The sequence below is a fragment of the Homo sapiens genome, chromosome 1 (genome assembly GCF_000001405.40).
Source record: "Homo sapiens chromosome 1, GRCh38.p14 Primary Assembly".
NCBI lineage: Eukaryota > Metazoa > Chordata > Mammalia > Primates > Hominidae > Homo > Homo sapiens.
Genome location: NC_000001.11, coordinates 248,189,581 through 248,213,466, shown reverse-complemented (window position 1 = coordinate 248,213,466; position 23,886 = coordinate 248,189,581). Strand labels below are relative to the sequence as shown.

The following is a 23,886-nucleotide window of genomic DNA, read 5'->3' as shown; positions in this document are numbered from 1 at the left end:
ATATATATATATACATATATATATATACATATATATATATACATATATATATATATATATATATATACTGCTAACTGAAGAAAAAATATTACACATTATCATGATTAGGGTGTAAACAATAATATTTGCAGGTAATCTTGAATGTCCACTAATAAAATTGCATTTGTAATCAGCAGGACTGATGGAAGTAGGAGTTCGGTGTGTAGGATGAGACAGGAGCAGGGGCTGAAGATGTAAGGGAAAATGGAGATTAGTATTGTTTATAGGTGATATTAAGAGAAAATTTTCTGAACATAAAGAGATACAGCCTCTAGATTTAGAAACAGACTCTGATGGTTTAGTACCAAGCAATTCTAACCATTTTAGTCAACACCAAAGAAACAGAGATATTGAGAAAGAAAGAAGGAACTGCAAAGGGAGCTTACCCTTCACTGTAATCAGAGTGATGGTAATTACTTTAAGAATCAATAATTTATTGAACAAGTTTTTATTGTTCTTAGTGGTTTTAGAAATATCAAAATGTATACTAGATAATTCACACCCACAACAGATATATAATCCTTTATAATATGAATAAAACAAAATGATGTAAAAACATGTTAAATTATTAGTAACAGTGAGTTCAAAAGAGAAATGAGTTCACATAGGATGTTGTAAAACAACACTCTGTAGAATAAATATTGTCCTGTCTGCTGAAAGTAGGTGAGACTGGAAACAAAGACAGGAGCCTGGTTTCTGTTTTTCATAGCCAGCATAAATTTAAATAGTGTCTTTATTCATTTTCCTTATCAGTAATTTCAATTAACTTAGAAAAAAATTATGTTTAAAATTATAAAACAATAACTTTTGGAAAATGCTTCTTTAATACCAGACCAAGAAAAAGAAAAAAAAACTAAGTTAGAAAATAATTTGGATAATTTAGAAACCATATGAGTTTTTAAAAATCAGTTTTTGGCCTGAATTAAATTATCTATACTTCAGTATAACCATAGATCTGTGGATATAAATGAATCTATCTTAATAAAAAGTACATTATATTTAGAAGCAGGTTTTACAAAATTTATTTTCCTTATTTGGCCAAGTGATTTAAGATAACTATAATTAATTATGCATTTTGCTTAATTGTTAAAAAGATAAGGATTATTGAATATTTTCTTTCTTTCTTTCTACCTAATATATAAATGGTTGTGATGCATATTCTAGAGTCATTAATGTATAGCATTATGAATTAATATTTAAAATATTTGATGGCTATTAGTATACTTCTTGTTTCATGTACAGTTTCACTATTTATTTCAAGGTAAGGCACATGTACTGTAGTCATGTAATAAAGTCTAAATGTTATTCTCTTTATGTATTACTTTGAGCCACTGTGGAAATATCTATTTGACCACTTAATCTATATGCTGGACATGATTTTCTTTAAAAGGACTTCAAAGACTGGAAATATATTATAGGATTTTACATTGTTCCATAAACTCTAATCCTATTCAAAGAGCAGAAATGCTAAAACAATTGACCAATTTTAGAAAAATTTGATTCTCTTGTGAATCAATAATATAAATAAAGCCTGTGCAACTAAGATTAAATGATTTTCCTTATAGGGAATGTGACAGCAATAGAGTTATTACAATTTTATTTTATGGCAAAACCCCATCTCTACTGAAAAATACAAAAATTAGCTCAGCCCATGCCACTTGGCCAAATTAGGAAATTAAATTTTGTAATATCTGCTTCTAAGAATAATGCACTTTTGATTGAGATAGATTTCGCATGGGCCCTGAGAGATTAGCAGGCCCCTGTAGTCTCAGCTACTTGGGAGGCTGAGGCAGGGAGAATTGCTTGAACCCGGAAGGAGGAGGTTGCAGTGAGCCAAGATCGCACCACCGCACTCCAGCCTGGGCCCCAGAGCGAGACTCTGTAATTAAAAAAAAAAAAAAATTACTATTATGTAAAAATATACTTACATTTGAAAATTCAGAAACATTTACTTATATTCTAAATTTCAATATAAGTCCTGTAATTATTAATAAAATGTTTAAGTATCATTGTGCAGTTTAGGGGCACATGTAAATTATCTATCCACTGAGAATTTAAATAATGAAACAATTTCTCTGTTGGATCAGTGTGTGAAGCTTAGATGAATTTTAACAACTTGAAAGAAATTTGGATCTGGGATCCCATAATAAAAGTTAACTTTTTGTGATGGAAGTAATTAGAGATCAAATGTTAAGATGTCACCTGGGTTGAAGTCACAGCAGCATCTCCAAGAGTCCCCCCAAAATAAAAATGACTATAAAATACAGACTAAAAATGTAAAAGTCCAGTGTATTAACTTTTACTCCAAAGTGAGTTTCAAGAGTCTCAATAAAATTTTGAGTTTATACCCTGGGAAAAGAAGATTTGTTTGCTACCTTGGTGCATACTTCAACATTTATGATACTGAATAAACAGAAAACTTTAATGTCCTGACTAGGATTAAGATGGTGGATAGGAGGCAGGACTAGCTTGCAGCTCCCACTCAGATGGACAGAGTGTCTCAAGTGTCCATGTGAAGAGACCACCAAACAGGCTTTGTGTGAGCAACAAGGCTGTTTATTTCACCTGGGTGCAGGTGGGCTGAGTCCGAAAAGAGAATCAGCAAAGTGTGGTGGGATTATCATTAGTTCTTACAGGTTTTGGGATAGGCAGTGGAGTTAGGAGCAATGTTTTGGGGGCAGGTGGTGGATCTCACAAAGTACACTCTCAAGGGTGGGGAGAATTACAAAGAACCTTCTTAAGAGTTGGGGAGATTACAAAGAACCTTCTTAAGGGTGGGGGAGATTACAAAGAACCTTCTTAAGGGTGGGGGACATTACAAAGTACACTGATCAGTTAGGGTGGGGCAGAAACAAATCACAATGGTGGAATGTCATCAGTTAAGGCTATTTTCACTTCTTTTGTGGATCTTCAGTTGCTTCAGGCCATCTGGATGTATACGTGCAGGTCACAAGGGATATGATGGCTTAACTTGGGCTCAGAGGCCTGACACAGAATACCGTATGGAAACTCACATTGTGAAATTTTGTGCCAAGAACTACTGCAGTAACATACCAGGAAAGCTGAGAGAATCCACAGATCCTTTGAAGGAACTGGATCACCACTGCAGGCTCCCTGAGACAATGAAAACCTGTGAGTCTGTTTGCTTTCTCAACAGAGAGGCTCATGGTCTGGGGCAAATTCTCAGCCCTGGTCACCAGCTGCCTGGAAATAGACTTGGTGCTGTTGTGTGGGCACGGTGGGAGCACGACTGGCCTTTAGGACTGTGGGCTGTGTGGATGCTGAGTGAAGCTGGTGACTGCCGGCTTTCTCCCACTTTTCTGGTGACCTATGTGTTGCAGCAGAGGCAGCCATAATCTCCCTAGGAATATAACTCCAATGGACTGGAAACCACACCCCCATCTGCCACAGCAGCAGCAGCAGCAAGCCCCACCCAAGAAGAGGCTGAACTCAGACACAGCCATCCCTACCCTGACCTGGTGGTCTTTCTCTATCCACCTTGGTAGCTGAAGACAAACGTCATAATCTCTTGTTACCTCTATGGCCTCACCCATCACCTGAGAAACCTGAATACTTGACCAGGTGTCCCTAGGGCAAGTTTGCATCCTCCCTAAGGGCCGCTGATGCACTCTGGAAAGCACTACCTCCTGGCTGAAGGCCAACAAAACAAGCAGCACAATAAACAAAAACACAACCAAAGACCCTAGCAGAGTTCCTTTCACTCCCCTGCTACATCGACTGGAGCAGGAACTGGTATCCATGGCTGCAAGACCTGAAGACAGATCATATTACAGGATCTTTGCAGACACTCCCAAGTACCAGTATGGAACCTGGTAGCTCCACTGTGTGGCTAGACAGCCACTACAGTTTGGCTCTCAGGAAGCCTCATTCCTAGGGGAATGAGAACACCACATCGAGGGAGCACTCAGTGGGACAAAAGACACTGAACAGCAGAACTTGAATCCCAGGTCTTCCCTCTGACATAGTCTACCCAAATAAGAAGGAACCAGAAAAAAAAATTCTGTAATATGATAAAACAAGGTTCTGTAATACCCCCAAAAGATCACACCAGTTCACCACCAATGGATCCAAACGAAGAGGAAATCTCTGAATTGCCAGAAAAAGTATTGCCAATTATTAAGCTAATCAAAGAGGCACCAAAGAAAAGTGAAGTCTAATGTAAAGAAATAAAAATCATGATACAGAAAATAAAAGAAAAATTCTTCAGTGAAATAAACAGCATAAATAAAAACACTCACAACTTCTAAAAATCAAGGACACACTTAGAGAAATGTGAAATGCACTGGAAATTCTCACCAATAAAATCCAACGAGCAGAAGAAAGAACCTCGGAGCTTGAAGACAAGGCTTTCAAATTAACCCAGTTCATTCAAGACAAGAAAAAAAACCTAAAAACAAAGCCTCCAAGAAGTTTGATACTATGTCAAATGTCCGGACCTAAGAATAATTGGTGTTCTTGAGGAAGAAGAGAAATCTAAAAGTCTGGAAAATATATTTGAAGGAATAATAGAGGAAAATTACTACCAGCCTTGCTGGATCTAAACATCCAAACTCAAGAAGCTCAAAGAACACCTGGGAAATTCATGACAAAAAGATCATTCCCTAGGTACATAACAAGTTATCTAAAGTCAAGGCAAAGGAAAAAATGTCAGCCGTGAGAGAAAAGCATCAGGTAACCTGTAAAGAAAAACCTATCACATTGATAGCAGATTTATTAGCAGATTTATTAGCAGAAGCCCTACAAGCTAGAAGGGATTGGCGCCCTATCATCAGCCTCCTTAAATAAAATAATTATTAGCTAAGAATTTTGTATCCAGCGAAGCTATGCTTCAGAAATGAAGGAAAGGCACCATCTTTTTCAGACAAACAAATGCTGAGAGAATTCAACACTATCAAGCCTGCACAACAAGAACTGCTGAAAGGAGCTCTAAACCTTGAAACAAATTCTTGGAATACACCAAATAGAGCCTCCTTAAAGCATAAATATTACAGGACCTATATAACAATAACATAATGAAAACAAACAAAAAAACTTCAGATATTCAGGTAACAAATAGCACGATGTATAGAATAGTACCTCACATCTCAATTCCGACATTGATGTTAGTGGCCTAAATGTTCCACTTAAAAAATACAGAATGGCAGAATGGATAAGAATTCACCAACCAAGTTTGTGCATCTTCAGGAAACTCACCAAACACATAAGGACTCACATAAACTTAAGTTAAAGGGGTGAAAGAACATATTCCATGCAAATTGACACCAAAAGCAAGCAGGAATAGATATTCTTATATTAGAAAAAAACAAACTTTAAAGCAAGAGCAGTTAAAAAAAGACAAAGAGGGACATTTTGTAATGATAAAAGGGCTAGTCTAACAGGAAAATATTACAATCCAAAATATATTTGCACATAACAGTGGAACTCTCAAATTTATAAAACAATTACTACTAGACCTAAGAAAGGAGATAGATGACAATGCAATAATAGTGGGGGACTTCAATACTCCACTGAGAGCACTAGACAGGTCTTTAAGACAGAAAGTAAAAAAAGAAACAATGCACTTAAACTATATGCTACAAGAAATGGGATTAACAGATATTTACAGAACATTCTACTAAGCAACTGCAGAGTATATATTCTATTCATCAGTACACAGAACATTCTCCAAGATAGACCATATGATAGGCCAAAAAACAAGTCTCAGTGAATTTAAGAAAATCAAAATTATATCAAGTACTGTCTCAGACCACAGTAGAATAAAATTGAAAATCAACTCCAAAAGGAACCCTCAAAACCTTGCAAATACATGGAAATTAAATAACCTGCTCCTGGATGATTATTGGGACAACATTGCAATCAAGAGGGAAATTTAAAAATTCTTTGAACTGGATGATAATAGTGACAAAACCTAGCAAAACTTCTGGGATACAGCAAAAGCAGTGCTAAGAGGAAAGTTCATTCCATTAGATGCCTACATCAAAAAGTCTGAGACAGCACAAAGAGATAATCTTAGGTCGCACCTCACAGAACAGGAGAAACAAGAACAATCCAAACCCAAACCCAGAAGAAGAAAAGAAATAATGAAGATCAGAGCAGAACTAAATGAAATTGAAACAAAAAAAATACAAAAGATAAATGAAACAAAAAGCTAGTTCTTTAAAAAGACGAATAAAGTTGATAGACCATTAGCAAGATTAACCAAAAAAGAATAGAGAAGATGCAAATAAACACAATTAGAAATGAAAAGGGAGATATTACAATTGATTCCATAGAAATACAAATGATTAATCAAGGCTACTATGAACACCTTTGTGCAGATAAACTAAAAAACCTGGAAGAGATAACCAAATTCCTGGAACTATACAACCCTCCTGGATTAAAAAAGGAAGATATAGAATCTCTGATCAGACCAGTAACAAGCAGCATGACTGAAATTGTAATGAAAAAAATTGCCAAAAAAAAGTCCAGGACCAGACAGATTCACAGCTGAATTCTATCAGACATTCAAAGAAGAATTAATACCAATCCTATTGACACTATTCCAAAGGATAAAGAGGGAATCCTTTGTAAATCATTCTGTGGAGCCACTGTCACCCTAATACCAAAACCAGTGAAAGACATAACAAAAAAAGAAAACTACAGACTACAGACCAATATCCCTGATGAACATAGATGCAAAAATCCTCAACATAATACTAGAGAACTGAATCCCACAGCATATCGAAAAGCTAATCCACCCATAATTAAGTGAGTTTCATACCAGGGATGTAGGGATGGTTTAAGATACATAAGTCAATAAATATGATACACCACATAAACAGAATTAAAAACAAAAATCACATGATCATCTCAATAGACAGAGAAAAAGCATTTGATGAAATCCCACATCCCTTTACAATTAAAATTCTAAGCAAAATCAACACGAAGGGACATAGAGGTGACGTTAAGGTAATCAAAGCCTTCTATGAGAAATCCACAGCAAACATTATACTGAAAGGGGAAAATTGGAAAGCATTCCCCCTGAGAACTGGAACAAGACAAGGATGTCCACTTTCACCATGTCTGTTCAAGATAATACTGAAAGTCCTAGCTAGAGCAATCAGACAAGAGAAAGAAATAAAGGACATCCAAAATGGTAAAGAGAAAGGAAAACTGTCGCTGTTTGCTGATGATACGATGGAATACATAGAAAACCCTAACGGCTCATCTAAAAAGCTCCTAGAACTGGTAAATAAATTCAACAGTTTCAGGACACACAATTAATGTACACAAATCAGTAGCTCTGCTATATACTAATGGCAACCAGCTGAGAATCAAATCAAGAACTCAACCCTTTCATGACAGAAGCAAATAATATAACAACAACAACACAAAATATTAAGGAGTATACCTAACCAAGGATGTGAAAGACTTCTACAAGGAAAAATACAAAACACTGCTGAAAAAAATCATTGACAACACAAATAAATGGAAATACATCCCATACTCATGGATGGGTAGAAACAATATTGTAAAAATGACCATGCTGCCAAAAGCAATTTACAAATTCAATGCAATTCCCACTAAAATATCACCATCCTTCTTAACAGAACTAGAAAGAACAATCCTAAAATTCATATGGAATAAAAAAGTCCTGCATAGCCATAGCAAGAATAAGCAAAAAGAACAAATCTGGAGGCACCACATACCCAACTTCAAATTATACTATAAAGCCATAGTCACCAAAACAGCATGGTACTGGATAAAAATAGAGACATAGACAGACAAAACAGAATAGAGAACCCAGAAATAAACCAAAATACTTACAGCCATCTGATCTTCAACAACACAAACAAAAACATGAAGTGGGGGAAAGAACACCATATTCAACAAATGGTGCTGGGCTAACTGACAGGCCACATGTAGAAGAATGAAACTGGATCCTCATCGCTCACCTTATACAAAAATCAACTCAAGATGGATAAAAACCTTAAATCTAAGTACTGAAAACATAAAGATTCCAGAAGATAACATCAGAGAAATCCTTGTAGACATTGGCTTAGGCAAGGGTTTCATGAGCAAGAACCCAAAAACTAATGCAATAAAAACAAAGATAAATAGCTGGGAACTAATTAAACTAAAGACCTTTTGCACTGCAAAAGGAACGGTCAGCAGAGTAAATAGACAACCCATAGAGTGGGAGAAAATCTTCACAATTTATACATCTGAGAAGGGATTAATTTCCAGAATCTACAAAGAACTCAAACAAATCAGCAAGAAGAAAACAAATGATCCCATCAAAAAGTGGGCCTAGGACATGAATAGACAATTCTCAAAAGGAGATATATAAATATATATAAATAGCCAACAAGCATCTAGAAAAATGCTTGACATCACTAATTATCAGGGAAATGCAAATCAAAACCACAATGCAATACCACCTCACTTCTGCAAGAATGGCCATAATCAATCAAACAATAATAGATGCTGGTGTGGATGCGGTCAAAAGGGAACTTTTACACTGCTGGTGGGAATGCAAACTAGTTCAACCACTGTAAAAAACAGTGTGAACATTCCTTAAAGAACTAAAAGTGGATCTACCTTTTGATCTAGCAATACCACTACTAACTACACAGAGGAAAAGAAGTTATTATACAAAAAAGATACCTGCACATGCATGTATAAAGCAGCACAATTTGCAATTGCAAAAATATGGAACCAGTCCAAATGCCCATCAATCAACGAGTGGATAAAGAAAAGGTTATATATATATATGTGTGTGTGTATATATATACGTATATATATATATATCTATATACACACATACCATGGAATACTACTCAGTCATAAAAAATACAAAATAATGGCATTCACAGCAACTGGGATGGAATTAGAGACTATTATTCTAAGTAAAGTAACTCAGGAATGAAAAACCAAACATCATACGTTCACATTCATATGTTGAAACTAAACTATGAGACAAAAAGTCATAAGAATGATACACTGGACTTTGGGGACATGAGGGAAATACGGGGAATGACAAGTGATAAAAGACTACACATTGGGTACAGTGAATACTGCTTGGGTGATGGGTGCACCAAAATCTCAGAAATCATCACTAAAGAACTTATTCATAAAACCAAACACTACCTGTTCTCCAAAAACCTATGGAAATTAAAAATAATTTTTAAAACTTTAATATTCTTATTGGAAATGACTTACATTGTGGTCATAGCAGAAATGAATATAAAATAATAAATAGTTATAATAGTTTATCTGAAATAAATTATATAGGTGCACATAAATATGTCATTGCAGATTTATGTACACAATGAATCCCATTTTCAAGGCTTAATGGAAAAATAGGACCATTTAAAAAAAGGATTTAGCACACAGCAAAACATGAAGTTTATTAGGTAACTCACTCTCCAGACTTGCCCTTTCCTAAGATCTTCATGAATGCTCTGGTCACCTCCTTGTTGCGGAGGCTGTAGATGAGGGGATTCAACATGGGAGTGAGGATGGTGTAGAATACAGACACCATCTTGTCCTGTGTTGGGGAGCGATCAGATGTGGGCCGTATGTACATGAACAAAGCTGCTCCATAGTACATTCCCACCACCAAGAGGTGAGAGGAACAAGTAGTAAAAGCTTTGCGACGACCCTCTCCAGATCCCATGTGAATGACAGCCAGGATAACTCGAGCATAGGAAGCAATGATGATTGCAACAGGGAAAACAATCATTACTATACAGCAGATGAAAAGAATCTTTTCAAATATTGATGTGTCACTGCATGAGAGGATTAGTAGGGAGGGGAAGTCACAGAAGAAGTGGGCTATTTCCCGAGACCCACAGTAGGAGAAGGAAAATGTTGCTACAACATCAATAATTCCATCCGTAGAGCCCAGGATCCAGGAAAAGGCAGTCATAAGTCCACAAATTTTAGGGCTCATGAGATTGGTGTATCTTAGAGGGTGGCAAATGGCAGTGTAGCGGTCATAAGCCATAACAGCCAAAAGAAAGCACTCAGAGCCAAGCAGTGATGTATAGAAGAAAATTTGTGTGGCACAACCAGCCATAGAAATGGACTTGCTGCCAGACAGGTAGTTGAAGGCCATCTTGGGTACGGTGGTGCAGATGAGCATGAGGTCCATGAGGGACAGTTGGCTGAGGAGGAGGTACATGGGGGTGTGGAGCTGGGTGTCCAGGTAGATGAGGAGAACCATGACAGAGTTTCCCATGAAGGCCACTGAAAAGATGGCCAGGACCAGAAAGAAGAGGAAGGTGTGGGTGGGGCTGTGATTGAAGATTCCCAGGAGGATGAAGTCGGAGTTGAAGGTCGAATTCTCCCTTGCCATGATGTGTATGCTTTTTACCTAGTACCACAAAACCAGCGTATTAATTTGGTAAAACTTTACTCAGTGCCTTATAAATCATGTGATTGTGGTAACTTCTGTAGTTGGGTGATCAATACAGCATGAATAGAAGTAGGAAACTAAAAGGTCAAGAAATATAGAATCTGAACGAAATATGTTCTTTCAACACTGTCTCACGAAATTATAGAGCTTGTCCTAAGGTTTTCTTCTGAGCATCCCCTTTCTCCATTGAAAAATTAGAATTATAGTATCTAATAAATAATGGATGGAGTTTTTTTTTTTTTAAAGTCTCCAAGGGAAACAGATAGTTCCTATAAAATTAGAAGTCTTTTACAGACACATTGATAGAGAAATTCAGCTTCAGTCAGCATGTGACCATCACAGTACTAGAAATGGAGAATAAATGTGTGCCTTTGCTCACATAATAGTAGACATTTTTACTAGGAGTGTTAACAAAATCTGTTTGTCTATTACTTTAGAGTGTTTGATGTACACTTTGTAGTAAGTTTTCTATACAGTAATTGGATACACTGAAAAGATTTTCAATTATACAAATCTAAAACCTAGGCCATTTTTTCCATAGCCCAGTGTTACGGATTGAGTTGTATTTCTTCCCAAAAAGATACTCAGCATGTGAGCTTGTTTGGAAATACATAAAGAGTGTAACTAGTTAAGGTGAGATCATATTGGATTAGAGTGGGTTTCTCTAATCAGTTATGACTCATGTTCTGATAAGAGGGTGGCCATGCAAAGACTGAGACACTGGGGATTACCGTGTGATGGGGGAGGCAGGGATTAGAGTGGTGCATCTGCAAACCAAGAAATGTCAACAACTGTTAGTTATGACAAGAACCTGGGAGAGAGGAATGGGACAGATTCATCTGCTTAGAGCCCTCAGAAGTAACCAACCCTGGTGACATCTTGATTTCAGATTTCTAGCCTCCAAAACTGTGAGAGAATAAAATTCTGTTGTTTTAGGTAACCAGTTTGTGATACTGTATTGGCATTCCTAGGAAACTAATACATCCAATATCTCCTCTAGAGAATGAGTACATACAAAAACAGAAATTCAGAAAAGCATGAAATCCACTCTTTCCAACCACACTTATGAAGCCTGGCTACGTGTTGACCACTGTGGCTACCACAGTGATCAGAACAAAGTCCCTGTGCATACAGGTCACAGTGAGTGTGATCAGATGATGACATATAAAACAATTTATGTTATAAGAGGATAAATGCAGCCTCATCATTCTATGCAGCCATAAAAAATGATGAGTTCATGTCCTTTATAGGGACATGGATGAAATTGGAAATCATCATTCTCAGTAAACTATCGCAAGGACAAAAAACCAAACACCGCATGTTCTCACTCATAGATGGGAATTGAATAATGAGAGCACATGGACACAGGAAGGGGAACATCACACTCTGGGGACTGTTGTGGGGTTGGGGGAGGGGGGAGGGATAGTATTAGGAGATATACCTAATGTTAAATGACGAGTTAATGGGTGCAGCACACCAGCATGGCACATGTATACATATGTAACTAACCTGCACATTGTGCACATGTACCCTAAAACTTAAAGTATAATAATAATAAAAATAATAAAAAAAGAGGATAAATGCTTTGGAGAAAACTTAGTTAAAGAAGGGCATTAGAATTGCATGAGTATGTTCAACTTTGAATAGAGTAGTCAAGGGAAACCTCACACTTATAATGGCATTTGGCAAAGACACTGAGGAAGTGAGAAAGAGACCAGATCACAGGAAAGGGTTATCCAAATAGGAATTCCACAAACTGAAATGCATAAATAGAACATACACAGAAAAAAATAGAAATGTGTATAAGATTTTGAGAAAACACAGGGTTTTAAAATTTAGAATTATGTTTCTCGTATGTTGTGGCATTTAGATTTTATTGTATGAGATAATTATAAATGTATGAGCAAAGCCAATATGTGAAGGGAGATTATCCCAGGCAGTAAAAAATTATGTTCTAAACAGAAAAAGAAGCCTGGTGAGTAGACTTATTAGACAGAAATGTACATTTTCTCATTTATTCATGCGTCACATTTTTATGAAGAGACTGAAAACAACAACAACAATGAAAGCTGAATAATCTAGGAAGAGCAAGGGAGTTGGAAGAAATCTACAGAGGAGACGGAATCTGGAATTTGGCCTCATGAGTTGAGATAAAACTTTTTAAATAGGGAGATAGTAAAGTATATCTTTTTGACTTTTATTTATTTATATAAATTTTGAATAATATTGTGTGTAAGAAAAAAATACTCAAAAGTAATGTTAAATTTTAACCCAAGGACAACTTTGACCTGGGAATACTAAGAAATGCCTCTTAAGGGCTGGGAAGATGCAGAAGGAATCTCCTTAAGTGACACTCATGAGATAGGATAGCAATCTCTAAAAGAAAAACAAATCATTTTTGTCAATCAGTATAAAGAGAGAAACAGGCCTCAACCTCCTCCCTTTCTGGTGTTAAAACAAATGGTTACCAAGAAGTTGGATAAAGCTGATTATTGGTAGCTCAGATCTAGGTCCAGTCAATGTCTTGAGAATGAGAAATGGGCATCTCTGGGATCTTCAGTGTTGGGGGTTTCCTACCACAGGGTTCCCTTGTGTTGTCTTCAAGAGGAGGTAGGCTTTTAAAGTCAATCAGGGGGAAAGACTTTGTATTGCCTCAATAATTTTCAGTGCCTATGAGCTTAATTCATCTTAAGAAAATAACTCGTCTCAACTTACTTTATGGAACCACCTATTCTGACCATTATACCATAGCCTTCCCAGTTACCTTGAAGTTGTCAACTGTTGTAATACACTAATTTATGCAAACAAAACTATATTACCTCAAAGTTCCACCATAATTTTTCTTTAAGTAGGTCTGCAATATTACTCCAAGAAGGAAGCTGTCTTGTCAAGTTAGCTTGTTCCTATGCTTCTTTTTAAGTTGGCAAAGTGTTCTTTACATTTGAGAATCATTCCTTCCCAGTCACCAAATTGACATAAAATGTTGAATAATTCTACTCCATCATTTATCCATTTCCACCACATATGTTTTAAACTCCACTGAATCATGAAGCATTAAAACAAAATTGAATAACAAGTGTAAATCTACATATCCCTCTGAATTTTCTCAGTTACATTAGTTTAGGCTGAACTTATATAAATGCACTATTATTTGTGTTGTATTTTTCACCTCCTTCATATCCATGTGCTAAAATTGTCTTCATTGAGTTTGCCCTGTCACGGAGAATATGGCAAGGTATATCATAAATTTATAAAAATTTAGAAGTCACAAAATTGAAAATATTGACTATTACATTGCCCTGTACCTTTAGTATTAAGATCCATGTGAATATTTATTCAATAAAATTCTATAAAAAGAACTAATGTGTTACTCATGAGGAAATTAAATATTTCTTCTAAGTTAGTAAGACACATATGACAGATTGTGCTTAATTTAGGCACTAGGAATATGAGATCCAACTCTGAAAGTCATTGTAAGTTATCCAGGATATAAACAATCTGAAAATGCAGTAAAGATAAAATTGGGATTCAAAGAGGTATTTGTATGTAGTCTTATAAAAATGGACCTGTGGCGAAATATTTTTTGCAACTCCAAGTTACTCAGGACTATTCACTGTCAAAAAAAACCAGAATATTTTGAGTTGCAGCACTGTATTAAGAGGAATAAAAAAGGCAGCTTTTTCAGAAAGGATCTGAAATTATGACATCTTGTTTATTTTATTTTTTTCAGAATACCCACTGGCATATCAAAAGTATTCACATAATGAGGTACAACATTTTGAACTCTGGATTAGACATTGCCTGCCAAGTATTTTTTTCTTAATTGTAATATTGTGCTTCCATTTTTATTTATTTCATCTAATCTACTATGTTTCTTTTGTAATAAACTTCATTGTTTTGTAAAAAGATGGTGCATATATTTAATATTAAAAATTATTTTTATGTATGAATCTTATCACATCAGGAAGACGACTCATCAGATTTCATCACACTGTGGTGCTGTGCCCAGGCCCAGAGCAATAGTAACACAGAAGTCATGAAAATCATGGTCATATTTCATGACACTGTGACATTTGCACATACCCAGGGCAATAGTAACATAGAAACCATGAAAATCATCATCAGATTTCATGACACTGTGGTACTGTGCACAGGCCCAGAGCAATAGTAACACAGAAGTTATGAAATTCATGGTCATATTTCATGACACTGTGATACTGTGCACATGCCTGAGCAATGCCAACACAGAAATTATGAAAATCATGATGAGATTTCATGACACTGTGATACTCTACACCTGCCAGAGCAATAGTAACACAGAAACCATGAAAATCTTGTTGAGAAATTGAGAAGTCACTGAGGGAGATGATGGAAAAGAGACACTGAGTGGCCAGAATTTGATCAAAAAAGTTGTAAAGCATTATGTATCAGACAGCATGTGTAATCCACTGTGTAATCCACTGAGGTTGCTAAACTGACTTTACCCTTTTGTAATAGGAATGATCAGGAAACAACACAAAACAACAAATCTCTCATATTAGCAAAAATGAGCATAGCAACTTTATATGTAATATAAAAATGCAACCTGCATGTGCACTAACGATGGAATTTATAAGCATAACTACAAGAAGTAGCATTGATGAGTCTCACAAATAGAATGTTGAATGAACAAAGTAGATCACAAGGAATGCCCTCATGAATCCTATTATGAGTAATTTAAACACACATCTAAAAATCACTTATGAAGCACAGCAATACTGGAATAATGACTACCTACAAAATGGGCCTGAAAAGTTATATAATCAGAGAGAGTTAAACTGTTTTTCAAAGGCACTGGTAATATTTTAAAGCATTTTACAAAATGTATATCTAACATATTTTTGTAAATAAACATTTTATACTCTGAAGTTTAATAAAATATTTTAAAAATAGGTGTAAACGTCTTAAAAGAATACATGACAAATGTAAAGCATTCATTAATACGGGTTGAGGATTCCTTATCCAAAATGCTTGGGACCAGACGTGTTGCAGATTTCAGATTCTTTTTCACACTTTGGAATATCTGCATAGCTAATAATGAGATTTTTTTGGAATAGAACCAAGTGTAAGGAAAAAATTTATGTTCTATGTATACCTTATACAAATAGCCTGAAGGTAATTTTATGCAGTATTTTAAAACAATTTTGTGTATGGGAGAAAGTTTGTGAACCATCAGGAAGCAAAAGTGTCACCATCTCATGTCAGCACTGAAAAGGTTCTGATTTTGGAGTGCTTTGGGTATTAGATTTTGGTTTAGGAATTCTCATCCTGCATGAGCTAAAATTATTAAAAGAAAAGAGAACGTGGCCAAAATTTTCAAATCATTGTTTATGGTTCTCATCTGCTACTCTTCTCCTCTGACATCTATTCACTGTCAATTTCTTTTTCAAATCTGGAATACCAGGACATGGAAAAACAAAAGTAATGGATTTTATCCAATCTTTCACACTGATAAGCTGGAGCAAGTAACCACTCCTTCTGCCTCAGATTGTACCACATTTCTCAAAGTAATATTGTACAGATAAAATAGAATAATGTTTATAAAATTCTTAGCACAAAAAATGACTTAAGAAATGAGATCAATCATCACCATGTTCAGCAGAAATTTCAGCACTAGCTTATACAAAGTCATGCTTGCGCTTGGTTAACTTACCTCTTAGTACTTACCTGAATAGTGTATATTTTCAGTGAGATTGTGGTTTCCTGGAAAGGCAAAAATATATAAATATCTTACAGGTTTTATGTTTCCATAATAAGAAAAAAAAGCACCTAACGTACAGTTGGAATCTTTATGGTTATTGAAAAATAAATGAAAAGACAAAAACTTAAATTTTCAGCCCTTGGGGAATCCATTCCCTTGTCTTTAATTTTAAAAGTTTGTATTTCCTTCTGTCTCCTCTCCTAGGACATGAAGCCGAATTAGCTTCCTTTTCTTGAAAATACTACAAAGATAATTACGCCTCCTTCCTTGTAGATTAGGGTGAACTTTCTGAAACTTCCCCCTCTCTCTCACATGATGAGGTGAAACACACTAAGTGCTTTCTGTGTAACTGGCACTATGTTTAAAAAAAAAAGGTTTGTAAATTAACATAATACTTACAACCATTGTGTATGCCAGATACCCCTATTAGACACATGTATATATTATTATATAATATATTTAATTATATTGTCGTATGTTTTACATGTGAAACTGAGGGCAGAAGTAAATTGACGTCTCAGAGCTAGAGAATGGCAGTCAGGGTGTTCCAGGCTAATATCATTCCTCTTCCATGGTTTCTCTTCACTCTTCCTTCTGCTCCATCATCAAAGCAAGATATGTTTGGGTAGAATTGGCATTTTTAACATCTTAAAGTTCCCTACATAATTCTAATTCTATTTGTATGTTCTTTAGTATGTTTTCTATCCCTTAAAACGCCTGTATATATTTTCTGTCAAAGTCATTATAAAATTGAAATGTTTATAGGTATTTTATATTTCGTTGCTCTAGTGTATGGATTATTGTTTCTATTACATCTTCTATTTGTTTTTGTTAATATATAGAAATCTGTTAATTGTTGCTTATAGACCTTGAATCCAAGAATGGTAATTTTTTTGTATTCCTTAGTGAAGAGAAAAATATTACATACAATGGATGAAACAACTTTATATGTCTTTCCAATTTTATCTATTTTCCTTGCATCATTTGATTAAAATATATATATTTAAAATGTTGAAGAACAATATTCTTGAGTACCTGAAGCCTTTAGCGATATAGTTCACCATGACATATAGTGTTTGTTTGAGGTTTTGGTAGGTGTATTCAGCACATTAGCAAAATCCCATTGTATTTCTTTTACCAATGCTTTCTTCAATAAATGTTCACTGAATTGTATTGAATGATATCCTGTTTTTACTGAGATAATGTTATTGTTTTTCTTAAATTGTTCATAGCCTGAATTACAAGGATAGCTATTTGTATATTTAGAAATATTTCAGTGGATGACAATGTATAAAACAAATAAAACACCAATGTACCCATCACCAGCTTAAAATAAAATATTACAGGCTGGGCATAGTGGCTCACGCCTGTAATCCCAGCACTTTGGGAGGCCAAGGCAGGTGGATCACTTGAGGCCAGGAGTTCGAGACCAGCCTGGCCAATATGGTGAAACCCCATCTCAACTGAAAATACAAAAATTAGCAGGGCATGGTGGCTCAGGCCTGTCCCACCTACTCAGGAGGCTAAGGCAGGATAATCGCTTGAACTTGAGAGGTGGAGATTGCAGTGAGCTGAGATTGCGCCACTGCACTCCAGCCTCAGCGACAGAGCAAGACCCCATCTCAAATATAAAATATACCATATAAAAATAAAACAAAATAATAAATAAAATATTACAGATTAATAGATGTCTGTGCGCACATAACCTGAATGTATGTTATTTATTATTTGCCTCTAGAGATAACAGAAGCCTACATTTTTGGTTAAATACTCTCCTTTCTTTATTTTAGAAGTAAATGTTTCATCCTTCCAGCTAAATTCCAGTACTTCGAAAGAGGTAAAACAATGATGTACTGGGACAAAAGTGCAGCAATATACATTTGTTTGAAAGACTGGTAAAATAAATAAAACTCTTAAAAAACCATAAGCCTATTCTGAATGCCCAAGAAGTCCTGGAATACAGAATGGCTTCCTCCTTCACTATTTCTCAAGAAGTGCTGTGGCTATTTGCTTCAGATTGTCCTGGGATTACTTTCTCAATCAGTTATTACTGGTTATGTCCTGGTTGTAGTACACAATTAAAATCTCACTAATGTCCTCTGCATTGTCATTCTAGTTTTATTTAAGCAACCAGCGAAATATGTTCTAAACATGTTTTAGAATACCCCCTTTAATCCTTTTCAAACATGTTAAAATAAGGAGCCAAAACTGTATTAATATAGGTAGCAAAGGTCCACATTAAGTGGTGCTGAAATCGGGGAAATGTCCAAAACCAGTTGCTAGGGTGTAAGAGTGGGTGCCATTGTCAAAAGCTTGCAAAAACCTGTATTTACCGAGGGATACCGGCATTGTATCAGGTCAAAATTGGGACCCTTTGCAATAAGTCAGCAGGAATAAGGCAGCGGCAAATGCAGAATGTGTGAGTCATGAAACGTAAGAGCCAGCGCCAGAGTGTCACATTATTTCACCAAGCGTGAACTTCACAAATGCATCATCCTGTTCTGCCAGTTTTGTGTTTGATTTCTTCATGCTCTTCTCGAATTTTCTCATCACATTCTTTCAGAAAACGTTCACAGACCTACTCACCCTGCCCTAGAGTAGACAAGGCCTGTCTTTATTTAATGGTGAGGATGTTATAGATGAAGTCCTTTGAGGAGAAATGCACGTGACCGTGCATCAGAAGTACGAGGTGGATCTGTCGGTTGGAAACTAGTTTCTGAAACGCCTTCTCTTCCGCATGCGTTTATTCTCTTATGCTGCAAAGAATTTGCTCCGTGGTGAGGGGAGAGGAGACTGGAGGGGGACAGCTCCATTCCCAGCTACTTCTGCAGAAAGTATAATGGCCATTCTGACTGGAGTTGGATGGTATCTCATTGTGGTTTTGATTTGGATTTCTCTAATGATAAGTGATGATGAGCTTTTTTATCATATGTTAGTTGGATGCATAAATGTCTTTTTTTGAGAAGTGTCTGTTCATACACTTCTCCCATTTTTTGATGAGGTTGTTTTTTTCTTGTAAATTTGGTTATGTTCCTTGTAGATTCTGGATGTTAGACCTTTGTCAGATGGATAGATTGTGAAAATTTGTTCCCATTCCATAGGTTGCCTGTTCACTCTGATGCTAGTTTCTTTTGCTGTGCAGAAGCACTTCAGTTTAATTAGATCTCATTTGTCAATTTTGGCTTTTGCTGCAATTGCTCTTGGTGTTTTTTGTCATGAAGTCTTTGCCTATACCTATGTCCTGAATGGTATTGCCTAGGTTTTTTTCCAGGGTTTTCATGGTTTTGAGTTTTACATTTAAGTCTTTAATCCATCTTGAGTTAATTTTTATATAAGGTGTAAGGAAGGGGTCTAGTTTCTGTTTTCTGCTTATGGCTAGCCAGCTCTCCCAGCACCATTTATTAAAAAGGGAATAATTTCCCCATTGCTTTTTTTGTCAGGTTTGTCAAAGATTAGATGGTTGTAGATGTGTGGTGCTATTTCTGAGGCCACTGTTCTGTTCCATTGGTCTATATATCTGTTTTGGCACCACTACCATGCTGTTTTGGTTACGGTAGCCTTGCAATATTGTTTGAAGTCAGGTAGCATGATGCCTCCAGCTTTGTTCTTCTTGCTTAAGATTGTCTTGACTATACAGGCTCTTTTTTGGTTCCATATGAAATTAAAAGAAGTTTTTTTCTAATTCTGTGAAGAATGTCAATGGTAGTTTGATGGGATTAGCATTGAATCTATAAATTTCTTTGCTCGATATGGCCATTTTTATGATATAGATTCTTCCTATCCACAAGGATGAAATGTTTTTCCATTTGTTTGTGTCCTCTCCTATTTCCTTGAGGAGTGATTTGTAGTTATCCTTGAAGAGGTCCTTTACATCCCTTGTTAGCTGTATGCCTAGGTACTTTATTATCTGTGTAGTCATTGTGAATGAGAGTTAATTCATGAATTGCCTCTATTGTTAGTGTATAGGAATGCTTGTGATTTTCGGACATTTATTTTGTATCCTGGGACTTTGCTCAAGTTGCTTATCAGCTTAGGGAGTTTTGGACCTGAGATGATGGGGTTTTCTAAATATAGAATCATATCATCCACAAACTGAAACAATTTGACTTTCTCTCTTCCTGTTTAAATATGCTTTTTTTTTTTTCTTGCCTGATTGCTGTGGCCAGGACTTCCAATACTATACTGAATAGGAGTGGTGAGAGAGGACATCCTTGTCTTGTGCTGGTTTTCAAAGGGAATGCTTTCAGCTTTTGCCCATTCAGTATCATATTGACTATGGGTTTGTCATAAGTAGCTTTTATTATTTTGAGATATGTTTCATCAACACCTAGTTTATTGAGAGTTTTTAACATGAAAGGGATGTTGAAGTTTCTCGAAGGCCTTTTCTGCATCTGTTGAGAAATAACTTTTTTTTCCTTTGGTTCTGTTTCTGTGATGGATTACTTTTACTGGTTTGCATATGTTGAACCAGTCTTGCATCTCAGGGATGAAGCAGACTTGATTGGGCTGTAGAGGCATTTGATGTGCTGTTGGATTTTGTTTGCTGGTATTTTATTGAGGATTTTCATTCACATCAATGTTCATCAGAGATATTGGCCTGATGTTTTCTTTTTTTGTTGTTGTTGTGTCCTTGACAGGTTTTGGTATCAGGATGATGCTGATCTCATAAAATGAGTTAGAGAGAAGTCCCTCCTTTTCAATTATTTGCAATAGTTTCAGAAGCTAGGGTACCAGCTCTTCTTTGTACCTCTGGTAGAATTTGGCTGTGAATCCATCTGACCATGGACTTTTTTTTGGATGGTAGGCTATTAATTACTACCTCAATTTCAGAATTGTTATTGGTCTATTCAGGGATTTCATTTCTTCCTGGTTTAGTCCTGGGAGAATGTATGTGTCCAGGAATTTATCCATTTTTTCTAGATTTTCCAGTTTATTTGCATAGAGGTTTTTATAGTATTCTCTGATGGTAGTTTGTATTTCTGTGAGGCCATTGGTGACATCCCCTTCATCATTTTTTATTGTGTGTATTTGATTCCTTATTGTTTATTAGTCTAGCCTGTGGTCTATCTATTTTGTTAATTTTTTTCCAAAAGTTAGCTCCTGAATTCATTGATTTTTTGAAGAGTTTTTTGTGACTCTATTTTCTTCAGTTCTGCTCTGATCTTAGTGATTTTTTGTCTTCTGCTAACTTTTGGATTTGTTTGCTCTTGCTTCTCTAGTTCTTTTAATTGTGACGTCTGGTTGCCGATTTGAGATATTTCCAGCTTTTTGTTGTGGGCATTTAGTGCTACAAATTTCCCTCCTACCACTGCTTTGTTGTGTCCCAGAGATTCTGGTAAGTTGTCTCTTACTTCTCATTAGATTCAAAGAACGTCTTGATTTCTGCCTTAATTTTGTTATTTACCCAAGAGTCATTGACAAGCAGGCTGCTCAATTTCTGTATAGTTGTGTGGTTTTGAGTGAGTTTCTTTATCTTAAGTACCAATTTGATTGCATTGTGGTCTGAGAGACTGTTATAATTTCAGTTCTTTTGCATTTGCTGAGGAGTGTTTTATTTCCAATTATGTGGTCAATTGTAGGATAAGTGCTACATGGTGCTGAGAAGAATGTATATTCTGTTGATTTGGGGTGGAAAGTTCTGTAGATGTCTATTAGGTCCACTTGATCCAGAGCAACGTTCAAGTCCTAGATATCCTTGTTAATTTTCTGTCTCGTTGATCTGTCTAATATTGACAGTTGGTTGTTAAAGTCTCCCACTGTTATTGTATGGGAGTCTAAGTCACTCTGCAGGTCTCTTAAGAACTCATTTCATGAGTCTGGGTGCTCCTGTATTGGTTGCATCTATATTTAAGATAGTTAGCTCTTCTTGTTGCATTGATCCCTTTACCATTATATAATGCCCTTGTTTGTCTTTTTTGATCTTTGTTGGTTTAAAGTCTGTTTTATCAGAGACTCAGAGTACAACCCTTGCTTTTTTTTGTTGTTGTTGTTGCTTTCCATTTGCTTGGTAAATTTTCCTCCACCCCTTTATTTTGAGCCTATGTGTGTCTTTGCACGTGAGATGGATCTCCTGAATACAGCACACCAATGGGTCTTGATTCTTTATCCAATTTGCCAGTCTGTGTCTTTTAATAGGAGCATCTAGCCCATTTCCATTTCAGGTTAATATTGTTATGTGTGAATTTGATCCTCTCATCATGATGCTAGCTGGTTATATTGCACATTAGTTGATGCAGTTTCTTCATAGTGTCATTGTTCTTCACACTTGGGTCTGTTTTTGCAATGGCTGGTACCCGTTTTTTCTTTCTCTATTTAATGCTTCACTGGGGACCCCTTGGGAGGCAGGCCTGGTGGTGATGAAATCACCTTAACAGTTGCTTGTCTGGAAAGCATTTCATTTCTCCTTCACTTATGAAGCTGAATTTGGCTGGATATAAAATTCTGGATTGAAAATGATTTTCTTTGAGAATCTTGAATGTTGAACTTACTCTTTTCTGGCTTGTAGGGTTTCTGCTGAGGTATCTGCTAATAGTCTGCTGGATCTCCCTTTGTAGGTGACCTGACCTTTCTCTCTGGCTGCCCTTTTTCCCTCATTTTGACCTTGGAGAACCTGATGATTATGTGTCTTGGGGTTGATCTTCTCATGGAGTATCTTATTGGTGTTCTCTGTATTTCCTGAATTTGAATGTTGGCCTGTTTTGCTAGGTTGGGGAAGCTCTCCTGGATAATATCCTGAAGTGTGTTTTCCAACTTGGTTCCATTCTCCTTATGTCTTTCAGGTACTCCAATCAATTGTAGATTCCATCTTTTTACATAGTCCCATATTTCTCAGAGGTTTTGTTCATTCCTTTTTATTCTTCTTTTTCTTTAATTTTGTCTGCATGCCTTATTTCAGCAAGATGGTCTTTAGACCCTAGTATCCTTTTTTTCACTTGATAAGTTTAGTTACTGATACTTGCGTATGCTTCATGAAGTTGTTATGCTATGTTTTTAAGCTATGTCAGGTGTTTATGTTCCTCTCTAAACTGGTTACTCTAGTTAGCAGCTCCTGTAAACTTTTATCCAGTTCTTAGCTTCTTTGCATTGGGTTAGAACATGCTCCTTTAGCTCAGTGCAGTTTGTTATTTACCCACTTTCTGAAGCCTAGTTTTGTCAATTCATCCATCTCACTCTCCATCCAGTTCTTTGCCCTTGCTGGAGAGGTGTTGCAGTCATTTGGAGGAAAAGAGACATTCTGTCTTTTGGAATTTCTGTGTTTGGGGGCTGGATTTTCCTCATCTTGGAGGATTTATCCACCTTTGATCTTTGAACCTGATGACAATTGGATGGGGTTTTTGTGAAGGGGGAGTATTTTTTGTTGATGTTGTTGTTGTTGCTGCTGCTTTCTGTCTGTTAGTTTTTCTTCTGACAGTCAGGCCCCTCTTCTGGAGGTCTGCTGCAGTTTGCTGGGGGTTCACTACAGACCCTGTTCACCTGGGTATCACCAGTGGAGGCTGCAGAACAGCAAAGATTACTTCCTGCTACTTCCCCTGGAAGCTTCGTCCCAGAGGGGTGCCGGCCTGATGCCAGTCAGAGCTCTCTTGTATGAGGTGTCTTTCGACCCCTCCTGGGAGGTCTCTCCCAGTCAGGATGCATGGCGTCAGGGACCCGCTTGAGGAGGCCATCTGTCCCTTAGCAGAGCTGGTGT

At 36.4% G+C, this 23,886-nt stretch overlaps 1 protein-coding gene across 1 annotated transcript; it reads right to left on the bottom strand.

Moving 5' to 3' along the window:
• Positions 1-541: 541 nt before the first annotated feature.
• OR2M3 (olfactory receptor family 2 subfamily M member 3) lies at positions 542-16,202 on the bottom strand. The gene is made up of 2 exons (NM_001004689.2): positions 16,166-16,202; positions 542-10,417 (listed from the first exon to the last, which is right to left on the bottom strand). The coding sequence occupies exon 2, from the start codon at positions 10,397-10,399 to the stop codon at positions 9,461-9,463; it is 939 nt and encodes a 312-aa protein (NP_001004689.1). The 5' UTR covers positions 10,400-10,417; positions 16,166-16,202; the 3' UTR covers positions 542-9,460.
• Between the last annotated feature and the right edge of the window lie 7,684 nt (positions 16,203-23,886).